Raw genomic sequence first — 22,595 nt, forward strand, 5'->3', positions numbered from 1 at the left:
ATATTGATTATAGCTAATAGCCTAATATTAATATATTTTATTGAGATTAGTTAATATTAATTGAGTGGCCAAATGATGGATGATTCTGTGCTGAGTGTTTCTGATAAGGCAGTCAAGTATAGAAACATGGATGGTTTTTCATTTAGCTGATTTCACAGCAAAGTGCAAAAGGAGGATAGGAAATTACATGAGCATTGTTGATTTCTTTATCAAGCACAGACCTTGGAAATGCATAAACTCTATGTATAGTGAGATTTCACTTTTTCTGAAAAAAGTTGAAAAACAACACTAATAATAAGTAAAATAGAAAAAGAGAATATATAGGAAAACAAAAAAAATGGCTTGTCAAATTGTGTGTCATTTACAGAGGTGTGTTTGTGTCTTCACATACAAAGAATCCAGGGAAAATAAATGGAAAAAAATTGAATAAATTTAATAATAACAATTTAGTTAGCCTATCTATGTCACTTCCGTGTTTATACCAGATGACTCAGAGCCAGTAGTTCTTTCAATTTCAGCAGAAAATAATTATTGGCAGTCCCAAAGTTGGATAAACTGTGACCTGCATTGGCTGGTTTGATTAAGGCTGGAAAATAGCAAACTTGATTAAGTGACAAAGACAAGATAATGAGGAAAGTTATTTAGAAAATGTGTTTAGAGATTTGAAAAGGGACTAAAAGATAGTTTCTCAAGAAAGTGCAAAAGAAGATGAGAAAATTATGAAAAAGAGTCTGGGGCAACATTTTAGGAACTGTAGACAGTGAAAGCAATTTTATAATGTATGTTAATATTAGCATGATATATAGACGAAAGGTAATCTTCTGATTGGTCTGAGATGAAGTAGTTATGTTAACCCTCAAAAGATGATGAAGTGTGAAATTTGAATTCAGATAACTAAGTTTTCAAGTTTTCTCAAAGTATTCCCTGCAGTGGCTGGTGGTCCACAAAGAAAGGAGGGCTTCTCAGCATTTTCAGTAGAGGAGGTCATCAGGGTATATTGGGTGAACTCAATACACCTATACACCTCCTGAGCTTTGGGGTTTGAGCCACATCACTGAAGTCTGCACTCTGTCATCTGCAAATGGAAGGGACTGCAATAAATAATCTCTAACTCCTCTTCCAGTTCTAAACTCCTATTATGCAAATGACTCTGTCTTTATATTGACTTTTATGTAAGAGGTACTGAAATGAATAGGAAAAATTGTTTGGTATTTCTTTAAATTTTCTCTATTTTGAATCAATTAGATGGCAGAGGCATTAAAAGAATATAGTTGTGGGTTTGGATTTAATGGGAAAAGACTCAGCCTTTCTCAATATGGACTTTGCAAGCATCCAAATATATACCTGCAAAGTATATGTTCAGAAGTCCAAATTCATTTCTGGTAATGATTCTTCTAAACTAATCATTATGTAAAAACTTGGCAGAATTGAGTTTGTGTTGGAATTTGCCACGTCTTTTGCTAACCTGATTCCAGCATAAGCATCAAGGATCTGTGTCCCAGTGTTATGACAAAAGTTCATTTCCTGTCTTAAGAATCAGAAAGAGCTTTACTGCTGGTCAGAAAACTAGAAAAGGTACCTGACTACCCATCAATTACTAATACCTTAGTAGCCTGGTCCCCTGGGCCACCTCCAAAGAAACATCTGCTGAGTCTCCAGGCCTCGAATCTCACACTTCACTTTTATGAGCCTTTTCTCTGGGGTCATAAAAGAAAATTTCTCTGAGAAACGTACTTTGCCAAAGTTTATCCCTTGGCTTTGTTGTAAAGATCCTTTAAATGTGGCAGAGACACCAACAGCCTTTTTAGCTGCCTTTCAATTCTTCTCTGATGCCTAAAACTAGAGAGGCTCAAAGTGAAGTTTTCAAAGGGAGTCTCCTTAGAGTTCACTGGGACCCTGGAAGCATCTCTCATGCCTTCATTTTGGGAATATCTAAACTTCATTACCTTAATTGACATGCCCAACAACCTGATCTTTCATTTTATTCTGTACACTAATTTAACAGATACAATTTAGTCTTTGTTTTCCCAGATTACATTTTTTAGTAGGGGAACTTGAATAATAATCACCATGATATGTCAAAAGCTCCTGGTTTCTCAAGGCAGCTCCACAGCAGGAGCTCTGTAGTTAGATAGGGTTGGGTTCATTTCCTGTTTCTGCCACTCACCAGCTATGGCCAAGGACAAGTTACATGATCGATGTTTCAGATTCTTCTTGTGTAAAAAATACTAAAATACACAAACACACACTCACACACCCTTCCCATAAGATTGTTGTGAAGATTAAATAAGATAATGTATGTGATGTCCCCAACAGCTCTTTAAAGCAGGAGTCAGTCAACAGACCCCATCAAGGACAAGATAGTAGCTACTTAAGGCTTTGCCAGTCATGTGACCTCCATAGCAGTTACTCAACTGCACAGTTTGAACACAGTAGCCATAGACAGTGCATAAATGAGTGGGTGTGGTTGTGCTCCAATAAAAGTTTATTTATGGACATAGAAATTTAGGTCTCATATAATGCTCATGTATCACTGAGCTCCTGGTGTTCTCCTGCATGACAGCTTAGCTTTGTCTGACCCTCTCAGCCCTGCTCCAGCTTCCGCAGCTCCTCCACCGCCTGAACCGCCTCCATTGATGCATCTGTTCTTGTTCTCCTTGTGTTTTTTTTTTTTTTTTTTTTTTTTCTCTTTGCTGTTCTTTCTGTAGCCAGGCCTATACTTCTCCATTAATGTGTTCTTGATTAGGTTTGGTAAGATTCTATCTCCAGCATTGCATAGATGTCTTAATTTTTCATAGCTGTATAAGTTTCTTGTCCTTTCTCTCAAAGAGCTTGGAAAAATTTCCAAAGGCTGGATTAGAAGAACTGTGAGAGTCACTAGTGTCTCTTATTCCAGAATCTTCTTTCCAAATATGACAAGTTAGAGTCCAGCCAGTTTGTCTTTCCCCTACCATTCGGTGAGTTCTGTACTCACAAGGTCACTCCTTCCTTCCCATCAAGGATGAATTGACCTTGGTATCTCCTCATTGCTCAGAAAGGTAATTCAAGTGTTCCACAGGTCAATCCCAGAGTCACTTCACTTTTGTCAGGAATCCCTGTGTCTCTTACTTTAACTGGACTCTGGGTGACCTATCTTGTTTGCACAAATATCTTAAAGTGAACATGCCAATTAGTGTCTCACCTCTACCTGCTCACAACCTAAACCTTTCCACCAAACTAACATTGAGAAAGTAAGTAGATAAAAGAATTATTGGCCAGGCGTGATGGCTCATACCTGTAATCCCAACACTTTGGGAGGCCAAGGTGGGTGGATTGCCTGAGTTCAGGAGTTCGTGACCAGCCTGGGCAACACGGTGAAACCTAGTCTCTACTAAAATACAAAAAAAAAAATTAGCCGGGCGTGGTGGCGTGCGCCTGTTGTCCCAGCTACTCAGGAGGCTGAAGCAGGAGAATGACTTGAACCCGGGAGGCAGAGGTTGCAGTGAGCCAGGAGTGTGCCACTGCACTCCAGCCTGGGCTACAGAGCGAGACTCCGTCTCAAAAAAAAGAATTATCACTGAATCCATATTTAGAAGAACAGTTAGCTTATAAAAGCAATAATTAGAGACAGGATTCCTTGTATAACAAATACTAATCATTTCCCAATATGGCATTCTGGGAAAATAAAATCAGATACCACAGGATTTCTATTTAAGTTTGGTTGTTATGAGATTTTGTTTTGTTTTCAAATTTCCACATTGGGAATAATATGAATTAATAAAAAATAGTGAGTAGTGCAATGGCATAAGGCTTGCTTGATTTATAAAATAGTTTTGGCTTAACGAGTAGAAAATGAGGTTTAAAATTCAACATAGTCACCCAGTTTTTATATTCTAATATTTCATTAAAGGAATTAGACATGCAACTTATTATATAATAGAATTAGATAAGATAAAACCAAAATAGAATCTTTCTGCTCTAAGCTGTGCTGCAAATTCTATAATTTTTTAGTTCAATAAAAAGAACTGTTGACTTAGATATAACTTTCTTGGTATATTCTCTAATGCTCATCAAGTAAAGATTGCTTTCTATATTTGTAGGATAATGAGCATTGGATATATTATTAGAGTTCCCTTAAACAAGCTTTGATGCATGAAAAAAATGGTTTCATAAGTATAAAACATTAAGGAATCTTTCTGAGAAGCTAGAATAAAATTGTCAATCATTTATTTAATAACTTATGTCAGCACAATTTTCTTGTAGTATGCAATGAGCATTTACATTTGGTTGTATGTACCAAAAAAAAATTTTAGGGTTGCTCTGAAGTTATCAAGGAGACACTGATCATTTTTTTCCTGTTATAAAAAGTTGCCTAGAGCTCTAGTAGAAGAAGCATCACAGCTTTCGTAAGGCAAGTGACTGAAGACTTGATCCAAGACTGGACTTTTATCTTTTTTTAAAAAAATTATGGACCTATGGATGCTAGGCAAGACCAGGCACTTTATATATATTATTCCAAATTCTTAATTTGAATCTGTTACATCATGACTTTACCATTTTATGTGTGAAATAACAGAATTCATGAAGTTATGAAACTTGTCCAATGTCACACTACCACCGAGTAGCATTTGTGATAGTCAACATGTATTCCTCCCATACTGGGTAGCAGTGCTTTTCTAAGTGCTTTCTATTTATTGCTTTGTTTAATCTCACAACACATTTATGAGATAGTTGCTATTATTATCCTTATTTTTCAGATGGAGAAAATTGAGGTGAAGTTCAGTTAAGAACTTCACTAATGTCGCAGAGTTAGCACATGGTAGACGCAGGGAGCAAACACAGGCCATCTGTTCATGTAGCCTAAGCTTTTAACTGCTACGCCAACTCCACTGCCTCAGGGAACAACTGGGCATGGCACCTACATTTATGTGAACCCAACCCTCCAAATTATGAAGTCTCTGTCATGCTAATTATCTGCATGAGACATGAGACATCAGGCACTTAAAAACTCACCATTACAGGGCCGGGTGCGGTGGCTCACATCTGTAATCCCAGCACTTTGGGAGGCCGAAGTGGGCGGATCATGAGGTCAGGAGATCGAGACCATCCTGGCTGACACAGTGAAACCCCGTCTCTACTAAAAATACAAAAAAAAAAATTAGCCTGGCGTGGTGGCGGGCGCCTGTAGTCCCAGCTGCTCGGGAGGCTGAGGCAGGAGAATGGCGTGAACCCGGGAGGTGGAGCTTGCAGTGAGCCGAGATCGCACCACTGCACTCCAGCCTGGGCGACAGAGCGAGACTCCTCAAACAAACAAACAAACAAAAAAAAAAAAAAACTCATCATTACAGAAGAGGGAAAATAAGGGTGTGTGTATGTAAGTATGTATGTATGTGTGTGTGTTTATGTATGTCTCTACATCAAGGATGTAGAGGTTTTACTTTACTTCCAGGCCTTCCTGCCTGACCAAAATTTAAAAGAGGAGAAATTATGATGTCATGTAATCATCAAGTTCATTATGTCACCTAAAAGAAATCTATCAATTAGCCCAATTATTTAATCAAGGATTTGTTGTCACTTTAAAAGTTTCATCAGATTATTTTACCTAAATTATAATGTACTCTGTGGAGTCTCAGAAAATGTGATCTTGTTGAGTGTTTCTTCCAGGTTGGTAGGTTGGCTTTTCACCTTATATGCAAATTTAAATCAAACATTGATTAGTGTAGGAGTATTTCTGATATAACACAGCATAGATGTTCTTGGAAAACCTCATATGCTTCAAAACTGTGCACTAAAAATAAAAGGACTTAGGGAAAAAATGTGTTTGAGTGAAATCATTCAATGCTTACGAGCACTAACAAAAGCAAAAAAGAAAAAAAACAAAACAAAACAAAATCCCCAAAATATAAAAGTTTAGTTAAAAGATACATTGAATTCTAATGAATACTGCACCTCAGCAATTGTAGGCCTTGACCTAAGGGGAAAAAAGTGAAAGTAGTTGGTAGGAAAGAACTATAAGACAGCCTTGAGTCTGCTGAGTTATGGAGACAAGAGAAAAATACAGGAAAATTGTCCAACAGTACTTCTACGACAGAGCATATGGTCAGACTGGGCTAAGAGGAAGAATGGGGAGCAAAGGGGATCTAGCATGCCTGCATTTTATCCTGACATTATTTCCCTAGCGATAGATGTGCCTGAGCCAATTGACATTCCTGAAATGTACAGTACTTATTTGAAAACAGATAAAAACAAAATGGCTTTTTACAGAGTAAAAAGGAATTACATTTCTTCCTTAACTCATTTCATAATCATTACTATATTTTCAGTAAGTATATTTTAAAGTGACTAAGCCTCTGCAAGGAACTATTTTAGCAATGTAACTATGATGAGAATCATAGAAAAAGATGCAAGAAATTGTTTTATATATTTTAGGGAAAATTGGTTGAAAAGTTTATCTGATTTCCTCATGATCAGCATGATGCATCATAAGTAGTGATGATACTTAATTTGAAGATGTTTAACTGCATGTATTCAAATTGTAGTCATCACACGGGAGAGTTTTTAAAATATATTTTAGGATTTATAATCCCAAAGGTTTTTCTCTTAAATTAGTTATAAAACATTCTGTAAATACTTTGATAAAAACTGAGAAACAAAATGTGAATTTGAATACTTAAAATCTCCCTACTATAGAGTTGAGTGTACTGAATTTTGCTATTATTTCAAAGATGCCACAGAATTGCCTCTTAAATCTAATTTTAAAAGATTGTAGATTGCACTCATCTTATTTTAAATAAAGATTTAATGCAGCTTATTAAACACAATTTGTGTCCAGTACTGTAGTTTTATCAAGGCGGTTGCCACCCGGCGAGTCGGGGGGCAGGGGCACTCCAATATGATTATTGAAAGTGAGGTTGCCGTTGTCTTTAGAGTTGACCTCTCTGTTTTGGGAGAATCATCAGTATGGGCTCTTGAGTTACAAAAATTTAAGGTAAGCATCCTCCTCTTTAAAAATAGCTTGAGACAGCTCACACTTACATGTAGATGCAGTCCGTTAGGAAGGTGAATGCCCTACTCAGTAATAGAAATTGGAGTGAACAATTACTGGGCTTTTGAACAAGGAGAAATTGCTTCCCAAAATGAGATTTTAACAGAAGAATTGGAGTAACCTAACTCCCACAAGGTGTTATATAATATTAGAAATCCAAGCTCTAGGCTTGGTTAAGATTGAATAACCAGAGTCATGGGAAATGTATTATGGACTATTTTGATTGTGCACTATGGTCCCTAGAGTTTTTCCTTGGCTGGGATATTGAGAAGTAAAGTCAGAGGAATGTGTCTTCCCTCTGCTTTGGTCCCCACACCCAGTCAGTAGCCCAGGCCTGCGGATTCTCTCTCAGAATTACTTCTGCAATTGATTCATTTTTTCCCCCCAGGGTCCTGTTTTTGCCCAACCCAGATCTACCATCTGTCCTACTCTGACCCATTTTTCATTCTACATTCCAAATAATCTTCTAAAAATGCAGTCTAATTCACTTACTCTCTTGCTTATTAGTTATTTAGTTGATTGCCCTTAGAATAGAGTATTATCTTGTTTAATGCGGTTTGTAGAACTCTGCAAAATCCTGACCTCTGTCTATTTTGTCTCTCACCACCATTATCTTGCTCTGTCTTAACCTCATTCATGCCTTTGCTACACTGGAATTACTTCTGTTCCTAGAACATTGGCTCCCAAGCATGCTGTTCTTTCTGGAACTCTCTTGGCCTGACGCAGCTCAGATGTTTCTGAGAGGACTAGGTTCAGATCTCTGATTTACATTCCCAGAGCACTATATCCCTCCCCTTTTTGCAGCAGAGGCCACCCTTGGAACTGATACATCAGAAATAGTTTTCCTCCTGGATTGTAAGTTCTTGAGAGCAAGGGGTGTTCTTTACACATCACTCTGACCTTGTGTCTAGAAAAATGCCTGGCACAGAGCAAGACCTTCGTAAATATTTGTTGAATAGGAAGAAAAATGAACAAGTGCATGAATGCGTGAATGATGTAGAAGACAATCCAGTAATACCAAAGAATCTATTGGAATCAAAATTATTAAAAAGAAAATGCAGATGAATGGAGAATTTATGTTAAAAGCCAAAAGAGTCTTGAGCTTTGACTTTTAGGCATCATCAAATTTAATAAAGAGATATCAGTAACATACTAAAGCAAAAGCCAGATGGTTTTGAACTTAAGAATAAATATGATGTAAGGAAATGAACACAGCCCATAAAGCCAACCTTTCAAAAAGAGTAACAATAAAGGGAGAATGGTAGTGCTAGAGAGGAATGATGGGATGAAGGAGTCTGAGATTTGTTTGTCTCTTTTTAACTTTGTGGCAGAGAGAATTGGACATGCTCACCAATTTTTCTACTACTTTGTCCTGCTTTCCTGATATACCACAGGGAAAGTTCTATAAACATTTCCTACTACAAAGTGAAAAGAAACCTATTTTAAAAGACTGGTTTATGGGATTTTATGTAATATTTTTCAATTTTTGAGTAAGGAAAACTTTCTAAGTTTTCAGTCTACCTGAAAATTAAGCCTTTTTCCTTATTTATGAAAATAGTTGTTACAATTTGTACTGAAGTATACAAACTTTATCCTTACTAAGGCAATTTGCTTTTAAGTTTTCTCCTCCTTTTGGCTACTCTTAAAAATCTGGACTTTCAAGTTTAATCTTAAAAAGCTCATATCTTTTTAATCACAGATATTGGCATGTCCAGGTACCAGGTATGATGGTAGACATTTGATACAGCTAATTGCTTTTGTGATGGATACATAATTTTTAGGCTTGCCTCTTCCCTGTAACTTTTTTCGATTTTTTTATTATTTATTTATTTCAACTTTTATTTTAAGTTTAGGGGTACAAGTGCAGTTTGTTACATAAGTAAACTTGTGTCATGGGAGTTTGTTGCACAGATTATTTCATCAGCCAGGTTTTAAGCCTAGTACCCATTAGTTATTTTTCTTGATCCCCTCCCTCCTTTCACCCTTTACAGTCCAAAAGGCCCCAGTGAGTGTTGTTCCCCTCTATGTGTCCATGCGTTCTCATTGTTTAGCTCTCACTTATAAGTGAGAACATGCGGTGTTTGGTTTTCTGTTCCTGGGTTAGTTTGCCCAGGATAATGGCCTCCAGCTCCATCCATCTTCCTGCAAAGGACATGATCTCATTCTTTTTTATAACTACATATTATTCCATGGTGTATATGTACGACATTTTCTTTATCCAGTTTATCATTGATGGGCAATTAGGTTGATTCCATGTTTTACTATTGTGAATAGTGTTCCAACAAACATACGTGTGCATGTGTCTTTATAATAGAATGATTTATATTCTTTTGGGTGTATACCTAGTAGTAGGATTGCTGGGTCAAATGGTATTTCTGTCTTTAGGTCTTTGAGGAATTGCCACACTCTCTTCCACAATGGCTGAAGTAATTTACACTCCCACGAAGAGTGTAAATTAAAAAGCATTCCTTTTTCTCCACAACCTTCTCAGCATCTGTTATTTTTTGACTTTGTAATAATAGCCATTCTGACTGGTGTTAGATGGTATCTCATTGTGGTTTTTGATTTGCATTTCTCTAATGAGCAGTGATGTTGAGCTTCTTTTCACATGACTGTTGGTCACATGTATGCCTTCTTTTGAAAAGTGTCTTTTTCTAACTTTTCATCTGCTCCTTAAGACCTGCTTTTGGAGAAAAGTGTATCAGTGCCAGAGAGTGTGGTAAGGGGTGTTTTCCTTACATGATATTGTTACATGTCTACATGATCTTGTTACATGTAGTAAACAAGATGTTCATGCCTAATTGAATTCTAGGATGGGCATGGTGGCTCACGTCTGTAATCCCAGTGCTTTGGGAGACTGAGGCACGTGGATCACCTGAGGTCAGGAGTTCGAGACCAGCCTGGCCAGCATGGCGAAACCCCATCTCTACTAAAAATACAAAAATTAGCTGGGCATGGTGGCTGCCACCTGTAATCCCAGCTACTTGGGAGGCTGAGGCAGAAGAATTGCTTGAGCCCAGGAGGCGGAGGTTTCAGTGATCCAAGATCATGCCACTGCACTCCAGCCTGGATGACAGAGTGAGACTCTGTCTCCAACAAAAAAAAAAAAAGTTCATGCTTCATTAAATTTTAAATTCTAGAGTTTAAATGATTGAGGGTTGCCTTACTTGCACAATAATCTGTCCCTGTTATTAATACTAGGCCAGTAGCTGGGTCATTATTCTCACCACGGCAAAGTTAATCACTCACTAGTAAAAAGAGAGTGAGCATTAAGTTTATTTGGAGGCTGTTTAATTATCAACTTTTGGAATGAGAAGTACCTCTTCAAGTTTCTGAGAACATATTATTCCACTTCTTGCCAAGGCCTGTCGCCAAATTTATTATTTTAATTTATTTGTTTTTCCCTTACCATGTTACTACCATCTCTACAACCAACTATGTACTGAATTCACCCACTGACCAAACCATTTCTGAAGTTACTGCTAACGTTACCCATAAAAATCATCACTAGTTTACTTGAGGAACAATCTTTTGCCTGCCAGGAATATTCTGTATTCTGTATTCCTGGCAGGCAAAAGCAAGACAAACAGGTTTCCAAGGTATCAACACTGCGTGCATCTGCTTCATAGTGTAATTTCATCAGTTGAGCAGATGAAGAATGCTAATTAGTTTGTTTATACATATGTAATTTAATGAGACTAAACACTTAACTATCTTAAAGTAAGCACAACTTACTTCCTGTTGGCTGTTTTTGCTTTAATAAAAAACACTGTTCGGCTTATTTCCTGGAAATTATAGTACCGTGCAGTACAGGAAAAGAAATTATTTCAAGGAAGGTTGACTGGTCAATTGTATTCTACTGCAGCTGGATTCAGTAGGAAGATAAGAATTAAAATATTGGGCTTGGGTACCAGCGTTGAAATCCAATGTGAATGAGAGAGTTAAGTTTAATGGAAAGATCTATTATAAACTATATTATGGCAAACTTCTAAGTCCAATACTAAAATTCTAATATATACCAGAATAATTCGTTTTAGTAATAATTCTATGCCATCCTCAGACCTAACCTATAATCTTCCATTTCTTATTGTCTTCCTTTTGTTTTTATGTACCCTTTTTTGCTAGTTATTGTAGTTAGATTTTGATATAACTGAAATAGTGGCATTCAGTTAATAAAGCTCTTTTCCCTGAAAATTAATACAAAATAGTGGTACTATTATTTGTATAAATAGTTATTTAGTATTATCTATTACACTCTTTTTGATTACTTTGAAGTTGTTCAAAAACTGGATCCCAGCCAGGCACAGTGGCTCATGCCTGTAATTCCAGCACTTTGTGAAGCCAGGGCAGGAGGATTGCTTGAGCCCAGGAGTTACAGACCAGCCTGGGTAACATAGTGAGACCTTTTCTCTACTAATAATAATGAAAAAAACTCTCCAAGCTCCCCAACCCCAACCAAAACTGGACCTGCGTAGGCTGTTATTTTTGGAGAGGAGTGACTAGAGGAGATGAGGAAATAACTTTGCTCCTATAGTCAAAATTATATTTTAATTAAAATGCTTTAGTTAATATACTCGGTTTTCTACAACCAGGGGTCAGCAAACTACTGGCTATGTTCACAGTCTGCTTTTACAAACAAGGTTGTATTGGAACACATCTGTGCCCATTCATTTGTATATCATCTCTGGCTGGCTTCACACTGCAATGGTAGGGTTGAATACTTGCAATAAAGACCATGTAACCTGCAAAGCTGACAGTATCTATTCTCAGGCCCTTTACAGAAAAGGTTAAAGCACTTTTAAAGCTTAAAGCTGATCATTGATTTGAAGCTTAAATCAGAAGAGAAGTTATTAAACAATAATAGAATTATGTTGAGATGTAGTAAAGACTAAGAAACAAATATTTATTACATTAAGTCCCAAAACAAATGTGGGTAAAATTATTAGATATTTAGGTTTTGTAGAACCTAAGTAATCATTCCCCCTATAGCCATATTACCTTTGGACCACTTCAGTAGTCTATTGAGGTAGACCGCTTCCATTCTGTTCTGGCAGAACAAATTTTCTACTCATAAATGCATAGGATTTTCTTTTGTCCCTTCTTGAAGTTCCATAAATTATATATGAGCATAGATTTTGTTTATAACTTTAGGTAACAGAGCCTTGGCAGCTTCTTCTGGCCTGCCAGCATCCATAATCTTCCTCTATACCTAATGTCCCATGACATCCCATGGGGATCAGATACTGAATTTAGCTTCCTTGTTTGTCCCAGTTCAGAAAATGAGTTGTTCATTGTTCTAAACTTATTAGATGACTTACATGTGACAATTTACAGGCTGTTGCTTATGGGAACATATTAAGGGCATTGAGGAGCATAGAAAATAAAAAAAAAAAACCTAATTGAACTTCAACTCTAAAGATTCAAATATAAGGCTGAATCTTGGATGTTTCAGATACCACTAGCCAATGAACAGGAAATTATGTTCCTCACTGAATTTTAATATAAATTTGTAAACCATATTTTGAAGATAAAAATCTAAGTTGATTAACAAAGCCCGATTGTGTAGAAACTGCTCTAATTTAGTAATATTAGTTTGGAGTTATAGAAAACACATTGGCTTTGGAGTCAGCTGAATCTGCATTTGAACCCTAGTTCAGTCATTCTCTAGCATTTGAAATGAGAGAAAACTACCTAAACTTTTGAGCTTCTCACCCATTGGGGATAATAATACCTGTGTTATGTGGTTGCTGTGAGGATTAATTGTAAACATAGAGTTCCCAGCACTGTGTCAGGCACATAGTACTTAGTACATGTGGGGATTAGCAAATATGGGTTCTTTTCCACTCTTTGTTTTTCTTCCCCAAGAGTAGGAAATAGCTGGTAGACCCAGTTAATCAAGATAATTAGTATTGTTGATGAACTGAATTCACAACTTGACAGTTCCAGTAACAAATAGCTAATGATAAATGGGTTGTGAATTGTGGGAGAATTTACAACCACAGCATCAACAAAAACAAAAGTACTGGGGGAAATATGCTGGAATGGCGATGCTTATGATTTCAGTGGGAAGTGGGGTAGTCTTTGACTCACCGCAGTCTAGATTTGTTTCCAGAGACCCCTGCAAATCCCATGGTATGTTCTTGGGGATCAGGAGTTCTGATGTTTTTTTCATTTTGATGATAATATTTTTAAATTGCTTTACCATTTAAAGTGATAAAATTTTTCTTTTGCCATAATCATCTTCATTGAACTTTTTTTCATTGAACTTTTTTTTTCTAAGTTGGTGTTTCAAATCTGAAAACATATACTTGGGGATCATTATACATATTGTTTTGCTTTAGGTATTTTTGGAAGCCATTGGTTTTTACTGTTCTGACTTTTCAGAAAGGAGAGCATAATGAGAATGTAGTAGTACAAGCATGAATAAAACATAAACTTAGATGTGGCTTTTGTCATAAAACCGTGGTGTTCCACTCTTGTGAAATCAAACTGGACCAGATGAGTGTAAAAAATGGAAATCAGTAGTTGATGCTAAGAACATTTTGGAAAAATATATTTTATTTTAAAAGTTAAAATAGTAAGAGGAAGTATTTTGCTAATATTGTGAAATTCACACATATTAAGTAAAGATCTTTGCCAAATGTCCTGCTCATTTTATAATTGGCATTTCCAGCAGAATTTTTTTAACTTGAGAATGACATGACTATTGCTTTTGCTCACCTGTCTTTTTCTGTTTTCATCCGTGCATAAAGTCACTCCTCTTTCTGTTCTGACTTTTTGCTGTCCATAGACATCCCAGTTACCAGTGTCCTTGAATTGATAGTGGCTTCTGTTTGTCAGTCTCATATAAGAACTACAGCTCATCAGGAGGAGATCGCAGCAGGGTAAGAGACACCAACACCATGTTCTGCACGAAGCTCAAGGATCTCAAGATCACAGGAGAGTGTCCTTTCTCCTTACTGGCACCAGGTCAAGTTCCTAACGAGTCTTCAGAGGAGGCAGCAGGAAGCTCAGAGAGCTGCAAAGCAACCGTGCCCATCTGTCAAGACATTCCTGAGAAGAACATACAAGAAAGTCTTCCTCAAAGAAAAACCAGTCGGAGCCGAGTCTATCTTCACACTTTGGCAGAGAGTATTTGCAAACTGATTTTCCCAGAGGTGAGTGCGTGCTCTTTAGATTTTGAAATTGTAATACTTTGAAATTGTAGAAGAATGTTTTTCCAAGGAAAATTTAAACACTTCCTTTCTCACTTTCAAGGCTACAATAAATGTAGAATATTTTCTTGAAACACATAAAAATATTCTTTTAAAGCAATTGTGTTCTTAAGTTGTGTTTTATCTTAAAATGTTTATGATCTTGAATTCTTTTCAAAAGAACACTGCAGTCTGACAAACTTTATGATTTTGGGCAACAGGCTTAATGCCTCTTTACCTCAGCTTCCTTATCCCTAAAATGGAAATAATAGTAGTACCCACCTTCTACAGTTTTAATGAGTTTTAAGTGAAACCATCCATAGCTCTTGCCATAACATAAGTGATCAGTAGTTGTTAGCTATTATCTTAAAATTAAATTCTTCAAAGAATAACTTATTTTCTGCTCAAATTTTCTCTCCTAATTTTAAAGAGCATCATACGTCCCCTGCCAGTTTTCAGAGTTGTGAAAATCTCCCTTGGCCACTTGCTCTGATTCTGAAGTTCTGCTCAAGCCAGTCTTGACTTTCTCCCTTGGGTCGGAGTCATGAGCCTGTGATTGCCTACACCTGCGTGTTATTAGGTCTCACACTTCTTCATATAGCCCTGCAAGCTGCATAGCATAGTGTCATGTTGAGATCTAGAGCACCTTCTGTCAATCCACCTTGAAGGAAACTTCTGGGAAGAGGACACAGACCTAAATAAATAGAAGAGCAGTTGAAGGTCTTCATGATGTCTTCCTCCCTCTGTCAGTCTTCATAGTTTTATATAGATTTGCTTAACCTATGAATTTGGCTGGACATTGACTTAATCAGACACCAGCTAACATAATACATTGATAATTTTTAATTGACTCAATACCAACCCTCTACTGTGTGCAAAGCACCAAAGAAACATGGACTGGCTGATTTTCAGAACTGAAAGGAATTTAACAGATAATCTTGTTTCACTCCCAGGAAGTGCTAGGGAAGTTCAGTGACTTGACCAAAATTACACAGCTTTCAAAGGGTAGAGCAATTAATTCCTGCTGTAAACAGTCCAGGCTGGAATGACTGAGAAAGAAGAAATTGAAGTTTGAAAGATGGATAAATTAGACTTAGCAGAAAGTTGAGGGAGTTTATTTCAGATATAATATTAACACAATAGTACTTTGGCAGATAACCTTTGAAATGGAAATGTTTAATTATTCTTACCACACTCTAGTTGCTAGACAGCCAGCATTGGCTAGGATAAAGGATAGAGCCCTCCTCAGGGAGTTGGTTTGTAGCACAGTCTGGGAAACAATCGGTGCTCTCATTTCAAGGACAGAGTGAAATGAACAGAAATGAACCAAAGGTGATGATGAGGAAGCTGAGATTGCTTCTATGTTTTCCCTGAATCCTGTCCTTACTATGTTGGCTTTATCATTTTGTTTGGTAAATTTTGAATTTCTGCAATGGAAGTCATACACATATTGGACTCTTTTTTAAAAAACATTATGGTTCACCTCCAGCCTGGGCGACAGAGCGAGACTCTGTCTCAACAACAACAACAAAAAAATTCTGGTTCACTTGATGGTGCCACCAAAAGTTCCACAGGCTTCCTTCATTCTTTTTCATTCATTCTTCTTTTTGCCCTTCTGACTGAATAACTTCAAATGACCTCTCTTGAATTTGCTGATTCTTTGGCTTAAGTCTGCTGTTAATGCTTTCCATTGAGTTTTTCAGTTCAGTTATTCTTTCATTCCAGAATTTTTACTTGGCTCTATTTTTGTGGTTATCTCTTTGTTGATGTTTACATTTTGCTCATGCATAGTTTTCTTATTTTATTTAGTTGTCTGTCTGTGTTTTCTTATAACCCACTAAATTTCATTATATTGAATTTTTTGTCAGGTAATTCATTGTTCTTCATTTCTTTAGGGCTGGTTACTGTAGATTTATTTATTTATTTATTTATTTGGTTGTATCATATTTCCCTGATTTTTCGTGTCCCTTGTAGCTTTGCATTGGTGCCTGCACACTTGAGTATGCAGTCACCTCTTTGCTTCTTTTCAGACTGGTTTTCACAGGAAAAGACATTCACCAATTGGCTCAGCTAGAGATTTTGAGAGCCTCTCAAACATTTTCTATGGATGTGCATGTTCCATTCCTCTCTTTTCCTGCTGAGGGAGAAGTTTCTGGGTGGTGTGCCTTCTCCTGATCCTGAAGAGCCATACAGGCTGCTATAAACTTCCCTTCTCTTTTTCCTAGGAAAATGTACTGAAAGACTAGGATGCAATACCAAATTAAAATTGTATATAAAAAATTTAGTAGTCTATGTTGTTTGTTCATGAGTTTGTAAGAATAAGCATTAAGATTTGACTACAGTGTCATGTAACAGAGAGGGCAAGACTATAGGAGATGGAAGAGGTATGTTTGGCATTAGTAACTAAAACTCCTCTCCAACTGAGATATTATCGTTATGGCAGTAAATGTTCCAGTGTTGAATACATTTGAGCTGTGTAGTCCTCAATCTAGATGACTTCAAACATCTGCTTATCTTTGATAAATACTTGTTATGTTTTTTTACTGATTATTTGTTAAGTTTATAGATTTAATGCTTAGACTGCTATTTAGTGTCAGTTGTATTAATAATACAAAAGAAGATATTTAAAATAGCATTTGACATCACAATTTTTGTTTTAGATAATCAGAATTAACTTCCTGGTTATATTTTTATTAGTGAACAGGCAAGTATAAAAATGTATTATCCTTAGAAAATGTAACATGAGAGAGGTCGTTCTCAAGTAATGGAATACTAGAGCTTTAAAAAGTCTTCTTGATCATCTAATGCAAACTTATCATTTCTATTTTAAGAAATAGAGACACATAAATTTAGATCTCTTGCTTAAAGCAAAAGATAACTGGAGAAATGGAAAACTCTCTGCATTTCATTCACAACCCATTGCTCTTCATAATATAATATTGTTTGCTCTTTTTTCATGGGTATTGTTTCCCAATAATTCTGTAAGCTCCTTCAGGCATACTGTCTTGAAGGAGCTTTTAATGGAGCCACAGTCAAAGCAAATCAGAAACCACTTACTGAATTGAAATAATTGAATTGGATATGCTTACATAAATGATAAGATCCCAAATCAAGTACCTAGTAAGAGTAGGATTTGAAGAGAATCACGAGGTCTGTAGATGTGTTCTAGAATATTAGGTTGAAAGAAGAAAAAGAAACAGTATTACAATTTATCTTATGAATTAAAATATTATTGGTCTAGAAAAACGTTAAGCACTGTAGGAAAATTAAAAAGCCAATGAAAATAGTGACTTATCCATAAACCACACCAATGATATTTTTATTAAAATTCACATTGTTGACAGCAATGTTGCATCAAATAGCAGTTTTTCCTGAAGTATTCATATATGGTATATTTGTGGCAAAAGTACTTGTTTTAATAATTTAATCAGATCTATTCTTTATGAGCCAAAAGATAATTGTTTAGTCAAGAGAAACAAACTTGAGAGCACTACAAACTATTTGCATTGGGGAACAAGTGTCCCCTCTGTGAATCAGAAAGTCCACAATCTACAATACTTCAGGTTCCAGTGATTGTACAAATAAGAGGATCTGTTCCCCCAAAATTCAAAATAAAGGCTTTCCCAAATAGTAGGGTGTTTTAGTGATAGACAACTAAAAGATTTACAAAAGACTGCTACACAATGTTTACATATATTGAACTGTAAGGAATGAATTTGGAAGGAAATATTGGATTTAGTTCTAAAATCTGAAACCAAAAATTAATATATAGAATTGTTGGGGTATGGAGCAGTCCTGAAGTGGTTGATTTTATGTTATGAGGCCCTGAGGTTGGCTGTGTGTGACAGATCTCACTTATAGTTGAATCCTGCTTATAATTTTATTGTGGACTCATATTATCTCAGGGTCAGGATATATCACAGGAAGTACAGCACCAAGGTAGGAAACTCGATGCACCAGCAGCCTCTACCAATAAATATTCTGCCTGGAAAACATGTGAGTTCTGTCTCTTATGGGTTTTGTTTTGAATTTACAAAAATTTTCCAGAAGAGCAATGGTATAAGATGAATGTCAATTTCCATAAAAGCCTATTCACTCATAATATTGGTCAAGTATGCTACTAATGCTTTGCACGGACTTTATTCCTTTTTTTCTTTAGGAAAATAAGTTTTGATTCAAAATGGAAAGCCAAACATACATTTGCTCCACCAACCTTAGCAATTGGAAGGGGACCATTTCTCCTCCCCTCTTACAATGATAGTGTATACGTTAGGAGGAAAAGACCAGAAAAAGACATTTCTGGTGGCAGTAGGAAGGAAATGAAAGACAAATAAACATCTTGACTAAAAAGGTAAAAGAGTATACCCAATGGCTTAATCAGAGACATAAAGAGGAGTGGAGTATCTCCAGTAGCATGGAAGAGGAAGAAGAAAGCATTCTTCAGTGGCAGAATTGGTTGGGTTTTCTTTCTCCCTGGCCCACAAAATGTTCCTGGTCAGGGCGAGCATGGTGGCTCATACTTGTAGTCCCAGCTACTTGGGAGGCTGAGGCAAGAGGATCACTGGAGCTCAGGAGTTCTTGGCTGTAGTGAACTGTGATCACCACTGCACTCCAGCCTGGATGACAGAGCAAAACTCTATATCCAAAAAAAAAAAAAAAAGAAGTTCCTGGTTCAAGAAGCAATTAATATATATATAAACAAATATAATTGAAATAGTTTACATTGGAAACAACCTAAATTTGTTTGTAAACAAGCTAAGAGAGTAACACCTCTATATCTGGCTTTATCACTTCACAGATAAAATTTTATAGATTAAGCCTTCAAGACTTTGAATAGCTGGCAGGTGGACATCATTCATTCATTCATTCATTCATTCATTCAATAAATATGTATTGAACATCTCCTATGGATAGGTACCATTGTAGGTTTTGGATGGAGGGGTAAGCAAAACCGACACTCTCTGCCCTTTTGGAGCTTCTGTTGTAATGGAAGAGACAGATTATGAAAAATTTACAAAGTTGGCGAGCAAATGCTATGAAGAAAAACTGAGAGCTCAGGCACAAAGGCAGCAACCCTTATTTTATTAAAGACTTCTTTTTTCATATGAATGTATTTTGCAGGAACAAATAATTCATAGCCACTCATGCTTTCATGGATTTGTATCCACATTGATACTCTGTTAACTGGAGTAACTTTCTACTGTACCAAGTAGATGGTTCTTGAAATATTTAAACATTTCAAGCACCCTGGCTGATTTACTTCATGTATAGTGTCACTAATTTAATGTTACCTTCCTTTTTCCTTGATGAGAAAGATGTCTAGGAAATATGCCCATAGTTTCTTTCTTGAACATGTTTCTCAACTGCCCTTTGCCTTTACATAGCTCACCAAGCCCGACTCAGAATCTGCCCTCTGGGTGCGTCTTCCACCAGCTTTTCTTTCATCCTGTGGCAGATAGTATCCTTTCTCTCTATATCTGAACAGTCTGAAAAATTGTTCCACATTGTAAATTTAAATTCTCTTTAATTTTTTTTCAGCAATTGTGTTTTCTTTCAATACATTTTTAAATTTTCTTTCTAAGCTTTGTATGTGTATATTTAAAACTAAAAGCCCTTTTCATAACTCATGTCATTAAAACAGAACCTTGATCTATTTTGGTTTACTCCAGTACCTCACTTGACTGGTGGAAACTCTACAAGAGATATAAATAGTTTTTAAGGAAAAAGGAATTTCTTAACTTGGGACAGCAAAAAATTTTTCACTTTCCTCTGGGGAAACTATAGAAAGAATCAATGGTTCTATATATATAATATATAGTTTTATATATATCTCTATATATACACACATATATAGTGAGAGGGAGGTACATACATAGATACATATGATTTTTACATGGAATATATAAAAATGGACAACACTGCTTATCAATGCTCTACTTTCCACTTATTTATTAGAGACAATCAGCTGTTAAGATAAATTAATAGCTACTCAACATGTATTTATTAAGTATAAAAGCTTACATACAAATGTCTTGCAAAATAAGGAAACTCATGAAATTCTCAGAAATCAATAAAAGAAAATAAAACCATAAGTATTTGATGAGGATTATTAGTTCAAAGAAAGGAAATCAGTGTAAGCCAAGGTAAACCCAAGGCTCATTTCAAATAAATGATCAACTAACTTTGGTGACAGATTAGATTTAAGAGATCAAAAAAGGAAGAGACAGAGATAACTCCAGAGTTTGCTAGACAAGAAGATGATATGAATGTATAGTTAAGGGCAGAGAGTCACTGGGGCAGCTGGGTGTGGAGTTTGTGAAAGGAACAGAAATTTGCTTGGCTTGGTCCATGCTGAGATTGAAGTATTGGCCGCCCGTCCAGAGGGATTTCCTGACTCAGAGGAAGTGATGCCCATGGAATCCTATATTGCAGAAGACCTAACACTACCAAACTGAAATCTTCTGTTTGGGTTCACACTCAGCTCAACTATTCTGTGGCTGTCAGTGAGACCACCACCAAAGGCTAAACCTGTGGGCCACAACACATATCCAATCTCAGATTAGTCTCAGCACATTGCTTCCTCTCCAGTTTGAAAAACACATAGAAAATCACTTCCAGTTTCCAAAGTGAAAATTCATAACATTTATCATTCAAGCAATTGTATAATGTGCTTTATTCTCGAAAATAAATCTTCAGGATGCATTTTTAAATATATAATTCCAAACAAATTATTATATAAGGGAATGTTTAAAACATTTCTTTTGAACTTTCAGTTTGAACGGCTGAATGTTGCACTTCAGAGAACATTGGCAAAGCACAAAATAAAAGAAAGCAGGTAAGTCAAACCACTTTAGTTGTGTGAACCTCTTATTACAATGACTAATACTGCTACTAATGGCCAGCAGTTACTGAATGTGTCAGCCCTTTATTGAATCATTGTGGTATGTCAGAAACTGGACTTAGTACTTTAGCTGATACTAATTTCAAAGTAAGTGCATCTATTTATCACATTTTATAAATGATTAAACTCAGGTTTATATGAAGTATTTAGAATTTTATAGCCGTTTAAGGAAAAGACAGAGCTGGGGTTCGAGCCTGGGTTTTTCAGAGCCATTATTTTAAGCATGTAGTTATAAACTGCTGCTTTAACAAGCTCCTGTAAGGCCGATTCTTTTGTACTAATTGGTAACTTCTAAAATATTTAACAACAGGTAAGTCATGGATCCCAAACAATCAAGACTTCCTGCCTGAAGGATGCTGCCAAAGTTTTGAGCAGGGTCCCAGCAGGTACCCCATCCCCAACACACATCTCAACAACATGTTAATACTTTAGTATCTGCATCAGGAGGAGGTAGAAGGATCAAGTGCTTAAGAGGAGGGGGACTCAGGGTTCCGGGGGGTAGCAGCTGTTTATTAATCCTTAGGGAAGTGTTTCTGTATTCTCCTAACTAGTTTGGTTGCACTGCAGAACATCAGTTTGTTTATACTTTTTTTCTAGTATTCTTTGAAATTTTCCTTTAAAGCATTTCTGAAGAGGCTTAATATAAAGTTACTTTTTATTTTTTATTTTTTTTTTAGAAACAGGGTCTCACTCTGTCATCCAGGCTGAATGCAGTGGTGTGATCATAGCTCACTGCTGCCCAGAACTCCTGGGCTCAGGCCATCCTTCTGCCTCAGCCTCCCAAAAAACTGAGATTAAGGGCATGGACCTAAAGTTACTTTTTTAAAATTTATTTTTATTTTTTTGAGACAGGGTCTTGCTCTGTCGCCTAGGCTGGAGTGCAGTGCAATCTTGGCTCACTACAACCTCTGCCTCCCTGGCTCAAGCCATTTTCCCACATCAACCTCTCGAGCAGCTGGGACTACAGGCATGTGCCACCATGCTCACCTAATTTTTGTTTTGGTTTTTGTTTTGTAGAGATGGGGTTTCACCGTGTTGCTCAGGCTGGTCTCAAACTCATGAGCTCAAGCATTCACCCGCGTTGGCCTCCAAAACTGCTAGGATTACAGGCATGCGCCACTGCGCCTTGTCTCTAAAGTTACATTTTTTAAATCTGATTTATTTAGTGAATCAAATACAATTTAGCACATTTACTGCTGACAGAAAATGTAATAGGGGCCAGGCACGGTGGCAAATCCCAGCCCTTTGGGAGGTCAAGGTAGACAGATCACCTGCGGTCAGGAGTTCGAGACCAGACTGGCCAACATGGCGAAACCCCGTCTCTACTAAAAACACAAAAATTAGCCAGGCATGGTGGCAGATGCCTGTAATCCCAGCTAATCAGGCAGGAGAATGGCCTGAACCCAGGAGACAGAGGTTGCAGTGAGCCAAGATTGTGCCACTGCACTCCAGCCTGGGCGACAGAGTGAGACTCCAT

General features: G+C 36.7%; 1 protein-coding gene across 25 annotated transcripts in view; it reads left to right on the top strand.

The window, feature by feature from the left end:
• The window catches only part of GUCY1A1 (guanylate cyclase 1 soluble subunit alpha 1), a 70,212-nt gene that overhangs the window by 16,094 nt on the left and 31,523 nt on the right, over positions 1–22,595 (top strand). For 16 of the 25 annotated variants that reach the window (NM_001379669.1, NM_001130683.4, NM_001379673.1 and 13 more), the window contains 2 exons: positions 13,815–14,181; positions 20,991–21,052. In NM_001379669.1, the coding sequence (NP_001366598.1) occupies positions 13,927–14,181; positions 20,991–21,052 (317 nt within the window). In that variant the 5' untranslated portion in view covers positions 13,815–13,926. The remainder of the gene's footprint in view (positions 1–13,814; positions 14,182–20,990; positions 21,053–22,595) is intronic. The other 9 variants (NM_001379667.1, NM_001256449.2, NM_001379666.1 and 6 more) reach the window with 3 other exon arrangements.

Source organism: Homo sapiens, chromosome 4 (assembly GCF_000001405.40).
Source record: "Homo sapiens chromosome 4, GRCh38.p14 Primary Assembly".
Taxonomy (NCBI): Eukaryota; Metazoa; Chordata; class Mammalia; order Primates; family Hominidae; genus Homo; species Homo sapiens.